Here is a 16,765-nt window from a genome sequence, read left to right on the forward strand (position 1 = left end):
TTTTTTTAATTTCAATTTTTAGTTTAGATTCAGGGGACACGTGTAGGTTTGTTAGATGGATATGTTGTGTCATGCTGAGCTTTGGGAAACAAATGATCCCCTCACCCAGGTAGTGAGTATAATATTCAAGTAAGTTTTTCAACCTTTTTCTGCCTCCCTTCCTCTCTTCTCTAATAGTCTCCAGTGTCTATTGTTGCGAACAATATGTCCAGATGTTTAGCTCCTAGTTACAAGGGAGAACATGTAGTATTTGGTTTTCTGTTTCTGCTTTAATTTGCTTAGGATCTTGGCCTCCAGCTGCATCCATATTGCTGCAAAGGACTTGATTTTATTATTTTTTCATGGCTATGTAGTGTTCCATGGTGTATACGTACCACATTTTCTTTATCCAACCCACTGTTGATAGGCATCTAGGTTGATTTCCTGTCTTTGCTACCGTGAATAGTGCTGGGATGAACATATAAGTATATTTTTTTTTGGTAGAAGATTTATTTTATTTTGGGTGTATACCCAAGGTTGAGATTATTGGGTCAAATGGTGGCTGTTTTAAGTTCTCTGAGAAATCTCAAAAGTGCTTTTCATAGTGGCTGAACTAATTTACAGTCCAACCAAGAGTGTATAAGCATTCCTTTTACTCTGCAGCCTCACTAGCATCTGTCCTTTTTTTTTTTTTTACTTTTTAGTAATAGCCATTCTGACAGCTGTGAGATGGTTATCTCATTGTGGTTTTAATTTGCATTTCTCTGATGATTAGTAATTTTGAGCATTTTTTTTCATGTGTTTGTTGGTAGCTTGTATGTTTTCTTTTGAGAATTGTCTTTTCATGTTTTTGCCCACTTTTAACAGGGTTGTTTTTTGCTTGTTAAATTGTTTAAGTGCTTCACAGGTTCTGGATAGTAGACCTCTATCAGATGCATAGTTTACAAATATTTTCTCTCTTCCTGTAGGTTGCCTGCTTACTCTGTTGTTAGTTTCCTTTGCTGTCCAGAAGCTTAGGTTAAATTTATCTGTTTTAGCTTTCGTTTCAATTGCTTTTGAGTACTTAGTCATACATTCTTTCCCAAGGCCTATGTCCACAATGGTTTTCCTGGGTTATCTACCAAGGTTTTTATAATTTTAGGTTTTACATTTAAATCTTTAATCCCTCTTGAGTTGATTTTGTATATGGTGTAAGGAAGGGGTCAAGTTTTATTCTTCTGCATTTGGCTAGCCAGCTAACGCAGCACAATTTATTGAACAGGGAGTCATTTCCCCATTGCTTATTTATGTTGACTTTGCCAAAGATCAGATGGCTGTAGGTGTGCAGCATTATTTCTGGGTTCTCTGTTCTGTTTCATTGGTCTATGTGTCTGTTTTTGTATTAGTACCATGCTGTTTTGGGTTATTGTAGACTTATGATATAGTTTAAAGTCAGGTAATGTGATGGTGATGCCTCCAGCTTTTTATTTTTATTTTTCCACTTAGGACTGCTTTGGCGATTCAAGCTCTTTTTTGTTATTTTTCAGTTCTGTGTGAATTTTAGTCTATTTTTTTCTAATTTGTGAACAATGATATTGATTGTTTGATAGAAATTGCGTTGACTCTGTAGATAGCTTTGGGCAGTGTGGCAAGCTTAACAATACTGATTCTTCCAGTCTATGAACATGGGATATTTTTCCACTTGTTTGTCTCATCTATGATTTCTTTTAGCAGTGTTTTGTATTCTCCTGGTAGATATCTTTCATCTCCTTTGTTAGATGTATTCCTAGGTATTTTTTGGGGGTGTGGCTATTGTAAATGGGACTGTTTTCTTGATTTGGTTTTCACGTTGAACATTATTGGTGTATAGAAATGCTACGAAGTTTTGTATGTTGATTTTGTATTCTGGAAGTTTACTGAAGTCACTTATCAGTTCTAGGAGCTTTTTGGCAGTCTTTAGGGTGTCTTAGGTGTAGCGTCAAATGATCAGTGAAGAGAGATAGTCTTATTTCTTCTATACCTGTTTTGGATACCTTTAATTTATTTCTCTTACCTGATTGCTCTGGCTAGAACTTCCAGTACTGTGTTGAATAGGAGTGGTAAGAGTGGGCATCCCTGTCTTGTTCCAGTTCTCAAAAGGAAATACTTCCAGCTTTTGCCCATTCATTATGGTGTTGGCTTTGGTTTGTCGTAGTTGCTCTTATTTTTACATATTTTCCTTTGATGCCTAGCTTCTAAATGGTTTTTATCATGAACGGATAGTTAATTTTATCACAGGATTTTTTCACATCTATTGATATAATTACATAATTGTTGGTTTTAATTCTGTTTATGTGGTGAATCACATTATTGATTTGCATATGTTGGACCAAACCTGCATCACAGGATTGGAGACTACTTTATCATGGTGAATTACATTTTGATGTGCTGCTGGATTCAGTTTGCTAATACTTTTTTGAGGATATTTTCATCATTTTCATCAGGTTATTGGCCTGTAGTTTTTGTTTTTGTTGTTGTTTAGATGTATCTTTGCCAGGTTTTGGTGTCAAGATAATGCTGCTTTCATAGAATGGGTTTGGGAGGAAACCGTTCTCCTCAATTTTTTGGAATAATTTTAGTAGAATTGGTACCAGTTCTTTTTTGTCTGGTAAAATTTGGCTGTGAATCAATCTCCACTGGGGCTTTTTTTGGTTGGTAGGATTTTTATTACTGATTCAATTTTCGGAACTTGGTACTGGTTTGTTTAAAGTTTTGATTTCTTTCTGATTCATTCTTGGGATGTCGTGTATTTCCAGGAATTAATCCATTTTCTCTAGATTTTCCAGTTTGTGTGCATAGAGGTTTTCATAATCCTCTCTTAGGATCTTTTGCATTTCTGTGGGATTGATAGTATTGTTACCTTTGTTGTTTCTAATTGTGGTTATTTGGATCTTCTCTCTTTCTTTCTTTGTTAATCTGGGTATCTAGCTACTGATCTTGTTTATTTTTTCCAAAAACTGACTTCAGGTTTCATTATTCTTTGTATGAATTTTGGGGTCTCAATTTCACTCAGTTCTGCTCTAAGTTTTGTTATTTATTTTCTTCTGCTAGCTTTGGAGTTAGTTCATTCTTTTTTTTTTTTTTCTCGTTCTTCTAGGTATTATGATAGATCATTAATTTGAGATTTTTCTAACTTTTTGACATCTCCATTTCATGCATAAGCTTTTCTCTTAATGCTGCTTTTGCTGCATCCCAGAGATTGTGGTATGTTGTGTCTTTGTTTTCATTTATTTCACAGATATTTTTGATTTCTGCCTTAATTTTATTGTTTACCCAAAAGTCAGTTAGAAGCATGTTGTTTAATTTCCATGTAATTGTGTGGTTTTGGGAGAGATTCTTGGTGTTGATTTCTGCTTTTATTCTATTTTATTCTAAAAGTATGGTTGGTATAATTTTGCTCTTTAAAAAAATCATTGAGAGTTGCTTTATGGTTGCGTATGTGGTTATTATTACAGTATGTTCCATGTGCAGATAAGAAGAAGGTATATTCTGTGCTTGTTGCGTGCAGTATCCTGTAAATATCTATTAGATCCAATTGGTCAAATGTGACATTTAAGTCCAGAATTTGTCTGTTACTTGTCTGCCTCAATGACCTGTCTAACACTATCAGTGAGGTATTGAAGCCCTCAGCTATTACTGTGTCATTAATTCTTTTTGTAGGTCTAGATGTAGTTATGTTGCAAATCTGGGGGCTCCAATGTTGGGTGCATTTATTTGTAGGTGACTTAAGTTTTCTTGTTAAATCAAATTCTTCATCATTATGGAATGCTTTTCTTTGTCCTTTTTCATTGTTGTTGATTTAAGTGTTTTTTAATGATATAAGACTAGTGACCCCTACTCTTTTTTGTTTTCCATATGGGTGGTAGATATTTCTTCAGCCCCTTTCTTTGAGCCTACGTGGCTTATGTGCGAGATTGGTCTCTTGAATACAGCAGATGGAGTTTTTAAATCCATCTTGCAATTCTATGTCTTTTAGATGAGGAATTTAGACCTGTTATATTACGTTAATATTGATATGTTCTTTCATTTTCATGTTTAGAATTCCTTTAAGAATCTCTTGTAAGGCTGATCTAGTGGTAACAAATTCCCTTAGCACTTGCTTGACTAGAAAATATTTATTTCTTTTTCACTTACGAATCTTAGTTTGGTGGGCTATGAAATTTCTTGGTTGGAATGTCTTTTCTTTAAAAATGCTCAAAATAGACCCCCAATCTCTTCTGGCTTATAAAGTATCTGATGAGAAATCTGTTGTTAGCCTGATGGGGTTTCCTTTGTATGTAATCTGATATTTTCTTCTAGCTGCCTTTAAGACTTTTTTCTTTGGCATTGACCTTGAACCATCTGGTGACTATATACCTTGATGATGTTCGTTTTGTATCTCATAGGTGTCCTCTAGGTTTCCTGTATCTGGATGTCTACCTCTCTAGCAAGATTAAGGAAGTTTTCTTGATTTATTTCTTTGAATATGTTTTCCAGGTTGCTTACTTTTTTTCCTTCCCTCTCATGAGTATCAATAATTTATAAATTTGGTTGCTTTACATAATCCTTTATTTCTCAAGGACCTTGTTCATTTTGAAAAATTGTTTTTCTTTATTTTTGTCTGACTGGATTAGTTTGAAAGACTGGCTTCAAGCACTGAATGTTTTTCTTCTGTTTGGTCCATTCTATTGATAAAACTTTCAACTGTATTTTGAAATTTCTTATGTGAGTTTTTCAATTTCAGAATCTCTGATTGATATGTTTCTAGAATGTTTATGTTTTCCTTTATTTCCTCGATTGATTGAGAAGCTTCTTTGTGTTGATTTTTAGCCTTATCTTGGATCTCATTGAGCTTCCTTGTATTCCATGCCTTGAATTATTTTGTCTGTCATTTCTGAGTTTTGATTTTGGTTAGAGACCATTGCTGGAGATTGAGTATAGTCCTTTGGCGGTGTCACTACATTCAGATTTTTCATGATGCCGGAATTCTTGTGCTAGTTCCTTCTTACATGAAGGTGCCAACACTAACTTTTGTAATTATTTTAATGTGGGTAGAATTTTTTTTCTTTTTCTCTGTAATACCATTGTGTGTGTTTTTTTCCTTTCCCTTCCCCTTTCTCCCCATTCCCAGGGGGTGTGAATGTGGGGAATGTTGCATAGAGTCTTTCAGCTTTGTTTCTGTAGCCCTGTGGATATGTTTTAGCTGGTTTGACCTACCTGCTGGGTTATGCAGTTTGACCTACAAGCCAGTAGATAACACTTATGGGTAAGGTCTGACTGTGGCCAATGTGGCCGGGTATACCTTTGATCCTTGTTTACTGGGAGAAGCTCTTTATTGTCTCAGGTAATGGGCTGAACCATGGAGTGCACAGTGGTCTGAGCTCCCTGCTCATCCCTGACAGGTGGGAGGGTCAGAGGGAAAGTTATACAGGACCAGCCTGAGGAGACTAACCTATAGGTCCCTTGATGGCAGGCAAAAGCCCTAGCCACTAAGGGAGAATCCAGTGGGAAATCAGTTGTCCAGAGGTGTGCCTAGGCATGGAACTGCGAAACTTCCTTGACTGCAAATTCTCTGCATGGGGGAAGTGGGTGGCCTAAACTCCTAATTCAGTGGGGTGGGTGCTCCAGATGCCTGGAGATCTACATAGGGATGAACTACAGAGGGCCCACTGTACCACAATCTGCATAGGAAGGGTAGGGTGGCAAAGGCTGCTAATCTAGGAGAATAGTGCTTTAAATGCCTGGAGATCTGCCTGGGCATGGAGCAGAGAGGGCTCTGTTGCATCACAATCTCTGCTCAGGAAGAGTGGGGCAGTTCAGGCTGCTGGACCAGATAAGCAAGTGCTTTGAATGCCTGGAGATCTGCCTGAGTGTAGAGCAAAAAGGGCGCTTTTCCACCACTATCTATGCACAGGCTAGAGTGGGATTGCTCAATTTGATTATCCAGTTTGTAGTTGTATGCTACCCCCACCCACCCACACACACTCAGGCTCTCGTACCCATATATGCCTGCATTTACACATACATGAGAATCAGAACTACTTTTCCTACATTTTTACCTCTTTAGGCATAAATTTTAAGCAGTAGTGCACTGAATACTGCTCCTACTAGTGCATAATTACTATAGTTTCACAAATTTTTAAAGGTGTTTTGCATCACGTTGACAGGTTGAAATTGGTCATGGTAGGATTATTTACAGATGGCTAATCAACAAATGGTACAATTCACAGCTTGTCCTCCAGGTAGGCAGTTAAGCTTTTACCAGCATATCATTAGACTCTAAGCATCAGGAAGGGTCTCTCCTTCTTTCCTTTAGCACTTGTAATACTTATCATGACATCAAGCAGCACACAAAAAAGCAGTATTTAGGGAGTATTTAGAGAGTGACCACTATTTAGGTTATATTAAGTAACTTAAATTAAGTAACCCATATTAAGGTAGTGTTTAGGGAGTAACCACTATTTAGCAGTAGTTAGGGATTGGTTGCTCCCTAAATACTTCTTAAATAATGCTTTTTTTGTGCTGCTTGATGCCATGAGTTTAGCCTAGATAGATAAATAAATTTGTGGAAAGGAAAGACACTTTCTGCTTTGCACTGAGGCACCAGTTTCTTTAAGAGTTCCCAAGAGAAGGTAGGCCCTTTAAAGTTTTTCCAGAGGGGTTGACCCTCTTGGACTGGTCTCTGGCTGATTTCCTAGGACACTGCCTGCTGCTTCATGCTCAGCACTCCCTGCTGACATCTGGGGAACCGAGTTGGCAGCACACATGCTAAATGTAGGCCAGAAGCCTACAAGGTGCATAACTATCCTGCTGATGCTGTTTCCTCAACTCAGAACGGTTTTCACGCATTTTCGTATATTAGGTGTATTGGACAGCATGCACCTCGTGCCCTAGTTGGATGGAGGTTTTTAAACAATGTGCTATTGGATTGGTGGCTTCTCTACTATAATTCCTTAAGGAATTTTACTTAGCTACATTCACATTTTAATCCTACCCTTAGAGTTCTATCTTAAGTGACACCTGGCATCTTTTTCTTTCTCATTCTGTTAGCTATAATAATTCCAATGTTTAACGTCGGGTCTATTAATATATTTCCCAGGATTGTTTTGGAGTTCAGGGAAACAGATTATGTCCCAATGTCAGCACTTTTTCAAGATGTGACTTTGGGGAAATAATTAAATCCTGCTGTCTGTGAAATGGGTGTCAAGATTTCTTTCCAAAAGGCCTCTTGAGGAAATTGTGCAAATAAGTAAGACCATGTGAGATGTTTTATACTTCATGAATAATATATTGCATACATGGAAATACAAAAATGCCATTTCGAGATTTATGCAAAGTTCTTTTTTCCCTCGTAGTTTCTTCTCTACTTGGATATTCCAATGCATCTTGCTGCCTCTCTTGACCACTCCTATGTTAAGCCATTTGCTGCTCTCATGCAAGTTGAGATTACTGTTCTGCCACTTAGTGTTGCTTTGAACATTGATCTTTTCAAATCTATTGACCTTGTTTCAGTATTGTACTGAAATTATCATAACTGGCCAGACGTGGTGGCTCATGCCTACAATCCAAGCACTTTGGGAGACTGGGGTGAGCGGATCACCTGAGGTCAGGAGTTCAAGACCAGCCTAGCCAACATGGTGAAACCCTGTCTCTACTAATAGTACAAAACTTAGCCAAGTGTGGTGATGCATGCCTGTAAGTAATTCCAGCTACTCAGGAGGGTGAGGAAGAATTGCTTGAACCCAGGCGGCAGAGGTTGCAGTGAGCTGAGATCAGGCCATTGCACTCCAGCCTGGGTGACAAGAGCAAAACTCCATCTCAAAAAGAAAAAAAAAAAAAGAAATTATCATAACTAAGTCTTGAAATGGTCTCCTCAGAATAAGACATGGGGTTTCTAACAACTCCTTCTCTATCACCCTGCTCTAACCACTTTAGACCTAATGAGATCTTTTGTAAGTCTCAAATAAACTAAGCTGTGTGTGATCTGTATTTCCCTCCTGTATTGGTTTCTGACACCATCTGCTTCACTGCTTCAGCAACCGAAACCTGGAATGGACTCTTTGACTTCTTGCCAGTGACATTCAATAGGAAGAAAAAAAATAACAAAAGAGACTGTAGAGCAAAATGGAATAAGCAGCACCTGGGGATAGTGTTGATGGGATTGCACAACCTTTCTTGTTTGTTGACTAGTTTAAATGGAAATTTCAAGCTGCTCTTCTGAGTAAATGTTTGTGTTGTTGTTTTCCAGTCTTAACATGGCCTGTTTGGTTTCTTTTGACTCTCACTACTTTGTATGACTTCTGTACCCCTTATTTTCCCAGGTTTTGCTAAACATAGAAAAATGAATGATTTTTAACAACCAGGGAGTTGTTAAAAGTTAACAACTAGGGAGTTGTTAACAAGCGGTTGAGTTTAATTTCACCTTTATTTGGTTATAAGGATTCAATTCACTAGCCTTCTAACCCCACCCATCTCAGTCTTCTTCCTACTTTTCAGTTAGATGGTCAAGCCATGAAGTGACTGCTTTCTTTTGGCCTCCTTGTTTAAGAATTTCACTTCCCTCATTTGCATAATTTATTAGGATGACTGTATTAGTCTGTTCCCACATTGCTATGAAGAGATACCTAGACTGGGTAATTTATAAAGAAAAGAGGCTTAATTGACTCACATTCTTCATGGCTGAGAAGGCCTCAGGAAACTTACAGTCATGGAGGAAGTCACCTCTTCACAGGGCAGCAGTAGAGAGAATGAGTTCCAGCAGGGGAAATGCCAGATGCTTAGGAAACCATCAGATCCCCTGAGACTCGCTCACTATCACAAGAACAGCATGGGGGAAACTGCCCCCATGATTCAATTACCTCCCACCAACTCCCTCCCACAACACGTGGAGATTATGGAGATTACAATTCAAGATGAGATTTTGGTGGGTAAACAGCCAAACCATATCAATGACCAATCATCCAGATCGGTCAGGGACTTTCTTGGATTTATTACTAGAAGCCAACATTCTGGAAAAACCCCAGTCCTGGACAAGCCTAGATGGTTGATCACCCTACTTCAGATTCATCAGCTGAGGAATATGAAATGAATGTTACATCATACTTTGCTGCATTCAGTCTTTCAATTGAACTTAATCTTGTGTTTCCTACCAGATAGATAAACAATAGCCCATCAATCACATTTAGCCTTAGACCTGTTTTAGTACAGCCTATGACCTAAGAAGTTTTTTTACATTATTAATGAGTTGATTTTAAATAAAATGAATATAAAACAGAGACGATGTGGCCTGTGAAGTGAAACATTCACTCTCTGGTCCTTTACAAAAAATTTTGCTAATCCATGGATTAAACACTTCTTCCTTTGTAATGCACCAAGTTTTGGGATTCTTAACTGAAGTCTATTTTGCTAATGAGATGCATGGAGAACATAGTGATTATTAAGATTATTGAAAGCAGGTTTTAGGAATGACTGTCACACCATTCCTTTAATTGTTAATATGTTGTTTATTATTCTGAAGAAAAAAGCAAGCAGTGTATTTGGAGCAGAACTGGCACAGAATTTTGTTAAGTTGCTTTTAATTTAATAATAACCAAATCATAGCCTCTGCACATATGTGGCTAACAGTTTTTCAGTACACATTGTGAATGATCTCCCAATATCTATATGCTATAGATGATTAGTCTGAACCCATAAACCATTCATAGTGAAGAGAAAACATGTGTTCTAAATTTGCCCAATCAGACTGAAAGAAAGGCTTGACATTCTGTGGATATTAACAAAGATGTATGTGCACCTGGAGCATGCACCTGGCGATCGCACCTGTGCTTAAGTTTAAAAATTTGATACATCAAGGAAGTTTCTACCTGTCTCTACATTGTCTGTGAAATAGGCTTTTCTTTTCTTTTTTCTTTCTTTTTTTTTTTTTTTTTAGCTCAGACTGTAGAGAGAAATGAAATCATAGAAATTGAAGCCTGTTGAGTTGACTTTCTGTTGCAACTGCGGCCACATGAGAAGTCTGCTTTGTATTCTTAACATCAGAATAATTCTTATTGAATCAGATCTTTTTGTTATCTCTTTCTTATATTACTCAAGAGTAACTCTTTCATAATTATAACACAAAACTGCCCGGTGTAACTTTTCCCTTGTTACTCTAATAAAGGTATATGTACCCTGTTAAAACAATTAGAAGATATTCATCTATGATATCTATTTCATTTTGTATTCTTTCCAATGTAGTATTTTAAAAAATCACATACAAATCCCTAAAGTTCCCAAATGCTTTATTCTGAGACTAGGGACAAGCTTTCAATTCTAATGAGAAAGGTTTTAAACAGTAGAATTGTAAAGGTTGTTTTTGTTAATTGCTCTTTGAAATTTGAAGTAGAGATAGCCTATCTCCATTCTTTTTACAGTATCCTTTGCTGACACTCCCATGTGGCTTTGTGTAGAACAATGATCCATAGCCAGGATGCCCACAGGTAAGAAGGCTCTTTCTTTCTACTTCTCTATATTTTCTAGCTAAAACTTTTTTCAAAATTGCTAACAGCATAAGAACCTAGTCTAATACTGAGGCTGTTAACTAGTGATCAGTTGATTCCTAGTGAGTTCATAAACAGGCTTTAAGAAATATCTTGAAAATGTATGCAATGAATATGTTCATTTTGGGGGAGGCGAGTACAAGCTTTGATAACATTCTCAGAGGGGGCCCTGGTGAATAAAGGTACAAAACGGTTTTAAACCATTCATTCTACAGATGGATAAACTGAGGCATCAGTGACTCTGGGACTGATCATTATCACCCAACTAATAAAAAGTAGAAGGCCAAAATGAAAGATATCTGACTTCTAGTCTGGGGTTCTTGTTCTTATTACTGGAACACGTATGTGGCAGGGGTTCTCTGGGGGGTGGGTGAGTGAAATATTTCTCAGATGCATACTTCTCTCAACTCAATGTGAGTCTCAGTGTAGGGTAGGCTTTCCAGAAATGTGAATGATTTTTTCATGTGGCTTGGGAAACCAGTCTTGTTCTTCCATATGTCCAAGCCTGGTATATGACAGAATTGTGCTCATTGTTATAGTGAATACATTAACAGATGATCTCATAGCTTTAAATATTTAAATTGAAACCTACAAAATTCAAAACGTAGCTTAAAAATTAGCTATTATTTAAGTTGCCATCTGTAGATAAGTTGAAACCTGTGCCAGTCTAATTAGCAATCAGGAATATGGTAATTGCTTTTGGCATATGAATGTGGAGAACTTCCCCAGAGTAAAATAATGCCAAGTTGTGCATTTCTGGGTCTTTTTTTTTCAAATTGACAGTGTTAATATTCTAATAATATATTACTTGGCATTCTGTTTGAGGCTTTAAAGAGAGTTTTTGTTTTCATTATTTAACAGAAGAATATAATCTATCAATCAATCTGTTATCATCTATCTCTCTTAAGTGTCGAGCAAAGTTTGTTAACTTGGGCTCAGCCTTTTGGAAAAGAAAATTCTTTGTTGTGGTACTGTCCTATACAATGTAGCAGTATCCCTGGCCAATACCCACTAGATGCTAGAACCCTCCTACCCACAACTAAAAGCTAAAATGGCTGTAGACATTGCTTCCAGATGAGGAAACAGGTATAGTTGCATTTATTCTATAAATGGTGACTTCTTGAACATAATAAAGCATGTGATTAATGCTTCTAGGAAACTGGCTTCCCAAAGTTAACAGAAAAAACATGGTAGGGCTCATGCTTAGTTTGCAGGACCCACTGGTGATATCATATTTTTTCCAGAAATAACATTGTATTCTTCTTTGATATATATGTGCAACATGTTTTTTATTTACACGAACAATTATTACAGTTTACTGATTTACTAACTTGTTTTACTGTAAGTGTTCAACTTTTGCATGGTTTATGTTTTTCCCTTTATTCGTTTTCACAATTAAAATTCCTTTCACATAATAACATATGTGTGTGTATATATATATACATTAGCAGAGTAATGATGATTATGAGATATTTCACAATTGCATAAGTTAAGTCTTCATTGAAGTAGCAGCTGTTTGTGGTTGGATGGATGCTCTCAGCTGTCAGAATGACTATCTCTTTGGGAGCATGTAGATGTTTACCTGGGTGTGGCCCCTGGCCTTTGCAAAGTTTCTTCTCTCTATGCTGGGAGTTGCTAGAAAACAAGGAGCTAGAAAGGACCATTAAAAGGAGTAAATAAGTATTTTGTCACACTGCTAGGCAATCTCGCAAAAAAGCCTCCATTTCCATCATCTATTTTCTTATAAAATTACGTTTCTATTTAGCCTTTCAGATATTCCACTTTCAGGTACATTTTCAGGTACATGTTTTGTAAGAAAGTGGAGAGCTGCTTTTATTTTCTTTATATGTATGATAAAAAATACTCAGCAGATGCAGATAGTTTTATTTATATATATACATATTTTCTTTTTCCCACTATTCCTTTTTGTTCTGGCCAGGCCATGGAGATGTCCCAAATTATCTTCTAGACTCAGCCTTGATATTATGATCCTTAATCTGATAGTGACCTCTCAAGTAGCAATTCTCAGTTATTTGGTTATGAAAAAGCCCCCTCTTTGGAAACTAGTATCATCTTTCTTTGTGTCACCTTGTTGGAGGAGCAATGGAATCTAATTATCCTTTACAATGATTTGTGAAGTAGCAAATGGGTTTGACATCTGTTCAGCAATTCTGAAGACAGCCCATTTTTATTTTTACCCCTATGGAGCTAAAGTCATCATAGATTGTGTCTTTTGGCCTTCCTTTTGTTCTTTGTTATAGCCTTGTGATAGTCTAAGAAAAGTTGATTTAAAAAACTAAAAGGAGGACTAGGGATGAGAATAGGAATTACTTTTTATTATAATGCAAGAAGAGCAGTGTTTGGCCCTAAGCATTTCAATGAGAGATCAGGATAATTAAGCAATCAGTGTTGTTATAGCAATATTTGTTATTAATTAAATGATATTTTTGAGCCCCTATTATGTGCCATATATTTTTCTAGGCGTTGAAGTTGAGGTTATAAATCATGCACACAATTTCCTTGCTTGCACAGAGCAGCTAGACAATAAAGAATGAAACCAAAATATTAGGTTAGTGCAAAAGTAATTGTGGTTTTTCCTTTGAAACAATGGCAAAACCCACAGTTACTTTTGCACCAACTTAATACAAGTAAGACAATTACTGATAGTGAAAATTACTGTAAAAAGAGTAACAGAGTCTACTATGATGAAGAGGGGGGCACGGGATGCTCCTTCAGAGGATCAGGAGACAACATTTAAAATGAGTTTTGAATAAAAAGGAGTCAGACCTGCAAATGCTGGGGTAGTTGAAGGGGAGCAGAATATGCCACCCCAAAATATGCTACTTTGGCATAAGGATTATTTTGTGTGAAGGGCAATTGAGAAAGAGTGGGCACAAAATGCTCTGCCCTCTCACTTTCTGTCTAAAAGAGCGTACATTTACCTTTGTAAAGGTGACAAATTTCCATTTGCAAAGGTATTCCCCTCTCCAGTGCTGTGAGAAGGATATTCTTAATCACTGAAGAGGACTCTTATCACAGGATATGACACCAAAGTGAGTCTGCATAATAAGCTTTATTAAGCAACTTTTTTCTATCATATATTTCCTGGTCATCTGCCCACAGTTTACCATCCCTGGATGTCCAGTTCCCATCCTTCTTTGTCTAGTCACTTGTTCACAATTTATATCCCTTTGTTAGAATGGTATATAAGCTCCCAGTCCAACTGCTTCTTTGGGTTTTGTCTTTCTTTCTGTGTAGTCCCCATGTGTGTAAAATAAAAGCAATTAAATGTGTATGACTTTTCTCTTAATTTGTCTTCTGTCGATTTAATCCATGACTACAATTTCAAAACCTAAGATGGTAGAGAATTTTTTTTTCCTCTCTCAAAGCAGGAAAACATTTGCCCAAAGAAATAACTGCATAGTTTCCGAGCCAGGAGCAAACTTAGCATGTTTAAACAGAAAGAAGTAAAATAAGTGAGGTTTGAAAAGTAGATAAGGGCTAGATCAAGGATGGTTTTATAGCTTATGGAATGATGATTGGGTTTTTGAAAAATATGCTCATTTATTTATTTTGGTCTAAAGTGCGAAGAAACTACTGGAAAAGCTAAGCAAGAAAATAACATAAACCTTATTTTATTTATTTGTTAAGACATCACACTGGCTGTTCTGAGAAGAATGAATGACAAGAGACAAAGAATGAAAGGAAGGCAAAGATTCTGGGAAGATGATGTTAGGACTCAGAAAACAACACCCCAAAATAAAAGCCTCAGAAGCAATAGTTTTTCTCTGATCTTTTCCTGCACTCGTCTCTCAGTTCAATTCTCCTCCAAGGCTAGCCATAGAAACTGAGTTCCTTTTCCCCAAAGCCAGCCATGAAAACTAAAAATGTTACTCTAATTTTCCCCTCACCTTTCTGTGTAAACAACTGGCCATAAAGAAGTTATCTGACCTACCTTGTTTGAATGGGAGTCATAAGCCCCCATTCCAGAGAGGATCCTGTCCCATACCCAGAAGGAACAAATGCAGGCTCAGAGATGCTAAAAAAGCATCTATACAAATGGGCCTTGCTGGATTTCCCCACTCAGTCTATTGGCATTAGATCATACCCTTTTTGTTCAGTTGTATTTCTATATTGTTGTCAATAGTTTGTTAGGCCTAAGTGTAAAAATGGACAATTTTCCCTATATTTTGGAGTATTCATTCTGAAGGCTCCCATGTCACATAAAACTATGATCACACATTTACATATGCTTTCTCCTGTTAATCTGCCTCTTTGTCAGTGATTTTCAGTGAACTTTCAGTGAGCAAATGAGAAGTTGTCCCTTAGCCTTGACAATGACAACAGTCCCAGAACTGTTTCTTCAGTCACTTAAGAGCTGCCACATAAAAACCAACAGAACAGCTATAGATGTCAAAACAACAATATTTAGAACAAAATATGGTGATGAGTTACTTATGAGAAAAAAATATTCAATGATATTTGCTAAAGCATGGCAAGGCAGACTTAATTCAGGACCCCTATGATAGACATAAGGACCACCACAAATGAATTTTGCAGTAGTGAAGACAGACTGGGTTCAGTTCCAAATACAGCATGGACAAGTGAGAATTTATAGTCAATTAATGGAGTGGGAATCAGCAGATAAAAAAATTACGAAGACGAAACATCACGAGGAAGGAGGATTTTAGCTAAGCCTACCTAACAGAATTCTTTCTGTTACAAGACAGGCCTGTGTGATCAGACATCAGCTGGGGGATGGTGGAACATGAGGAACCTGATCGGATATCCAGGGTGGGGAGTACTCGCTAGGAGGATTCTAGCTAAACACACCTAATGGGATTCTTTAAAACTGGATTCTACAAAACTGGATTCAACAAGGGAGTTCACAGATGGGCCAAGGAGCCTGATTAAAGTTTGGTCAAGCAAAGAATTTTTGTTAGCATCCCTGATAATTCACAAATTCAAGAAAGTGGAATTGGGTGAGGGGCCCCCTGTCCCCTCCCTCCCCACTTCCCTGTAGTCACAGCTGCTCAGAAGACTGAGGCAGAAGGATGGCTTGAGCTTTACAGATCTGGGCTGTAGTGCACTCTGCAGATCAAGTGTCTCCACTAAGATTGCCATCAATATGGTGACTTCCTGGGAGTGAGGATGCCCCAGGTTGCCTGAAGAGTGGGGAATTGGCCTACATAGAAAACAGAGCAGGTCAGAACCACCATGCTGATTAGTACAGGGACTGCACCGGTGAATAGCCAGTGCACTCCATCCTGGACAACACGGTGAGGTACTGACTCTTTAAAAACACAAATAAATAAGAAACTAAAAGAAGAAAGTGGAGATAATTAACAGGTATGCTAGTGGTAGGTGTGGGCTAAGGGAGTAGAGGGAAGTAATGAGATGGGGGGAATTTTAGACCAGCAGCTCTGAAAGAAAGGGTTTGTCTTCTCCACTGCTGGGTGAGTGCAAGGGCATGTGTTAAGGACTGAAGAGTCTAGAATATTCTAATGTCTTTGAGTTGCCTTTCTAGAGCTCCTTTCTAGGCCAGGGTCTCATACAGAGGAGAAACTGCTGTAGGAGCGAAATCAAAATCCAACAGTATAGTCTCCATCAGAGACTAAGGAAGGTGAAGTCTTAGACCACAATAAGGGTGGAGAACAGATTTAGGACATCTCAGTTAGAAAAGCCACCCTATTTTAGAAGACTATACTCACACCACAGAAGAGGCTGAAGCTTGAGAAGCTTTCCTGAATTCTGTGTCTTTCTAAAAATTCAGAAACAATAATTTCTGAAAAATATCTAGAGTGATAGAGCCTCACTGTTAGTAGGTAAGTGAATGTGGGAAAAATAGAGCAGCAGATGACACAGGTGAGTTAAAAAGTACAGTGGTTAAAGCAGTCTATAGATCATCTGCCTGTGTTGGGGCTCAGAACATGATACTCCAAAGTATGGCACTTAGGCATGTTGAGTACTTTGAACTAAAGGAGATGGGAAAGCCTCAGGAGCAAGGTCTCTCTCATGTTCTCCAATCCTCCTGTCTCCTATCCCTCTTTCTCCTCTGAAACAGTTCATAGAAATCAGAATTCCACTTCCCCTAGATGGGTCATAGAAACTAGAACCCGTCTCTCAAAACAAGCCATAAAACCTAGAAAGGTCTCTCTACTTTTTCCCTTCAAGGCCCTCATTCCAGCAGAGTCTTGGCCCATACCCAGGAGGAAGGAATGCTACAGGTTGAATAAGAAGAATCTGAACAG

At 37.6% G+C, this 16,765-nt stretch overlaps 1 long non-coding RNA gene across 1 annotated transcript; it reads left to right on the top strand.

The window, feature by feature from the left end:
• Positions 1-5,837: 5,837 nt before the first annotated feature.
• On the top strand, positions 5,838-14,292 carry LOC105370599 (uncharacterized). Its single transcript, XR_944087.4, has 3 exons — positions 5,838-6,218; positions 10,389-10,454; positions 14,166-14,292. It is a non-coding gene; the product is annotated as an uncharacterized LOC105370599 (long non-coding RNA).
• The last annotated feature ends 2,473 nt before the right edge of the window (positions 14,293-16,765 follow it).

The sequence above is a fragment of the Homo sapiens genome, chromosome 14 (genome assembly GCF_000001405.40).
Source record: "Homo sapiens chromosome 14, GRCh38.p14 Primary Assembly".
Lineage (NCBI taxonomy): Eukaryota > Metazoa > Chordata > Mammalia > Primates > Hominidae > Homo > Homo sapiens.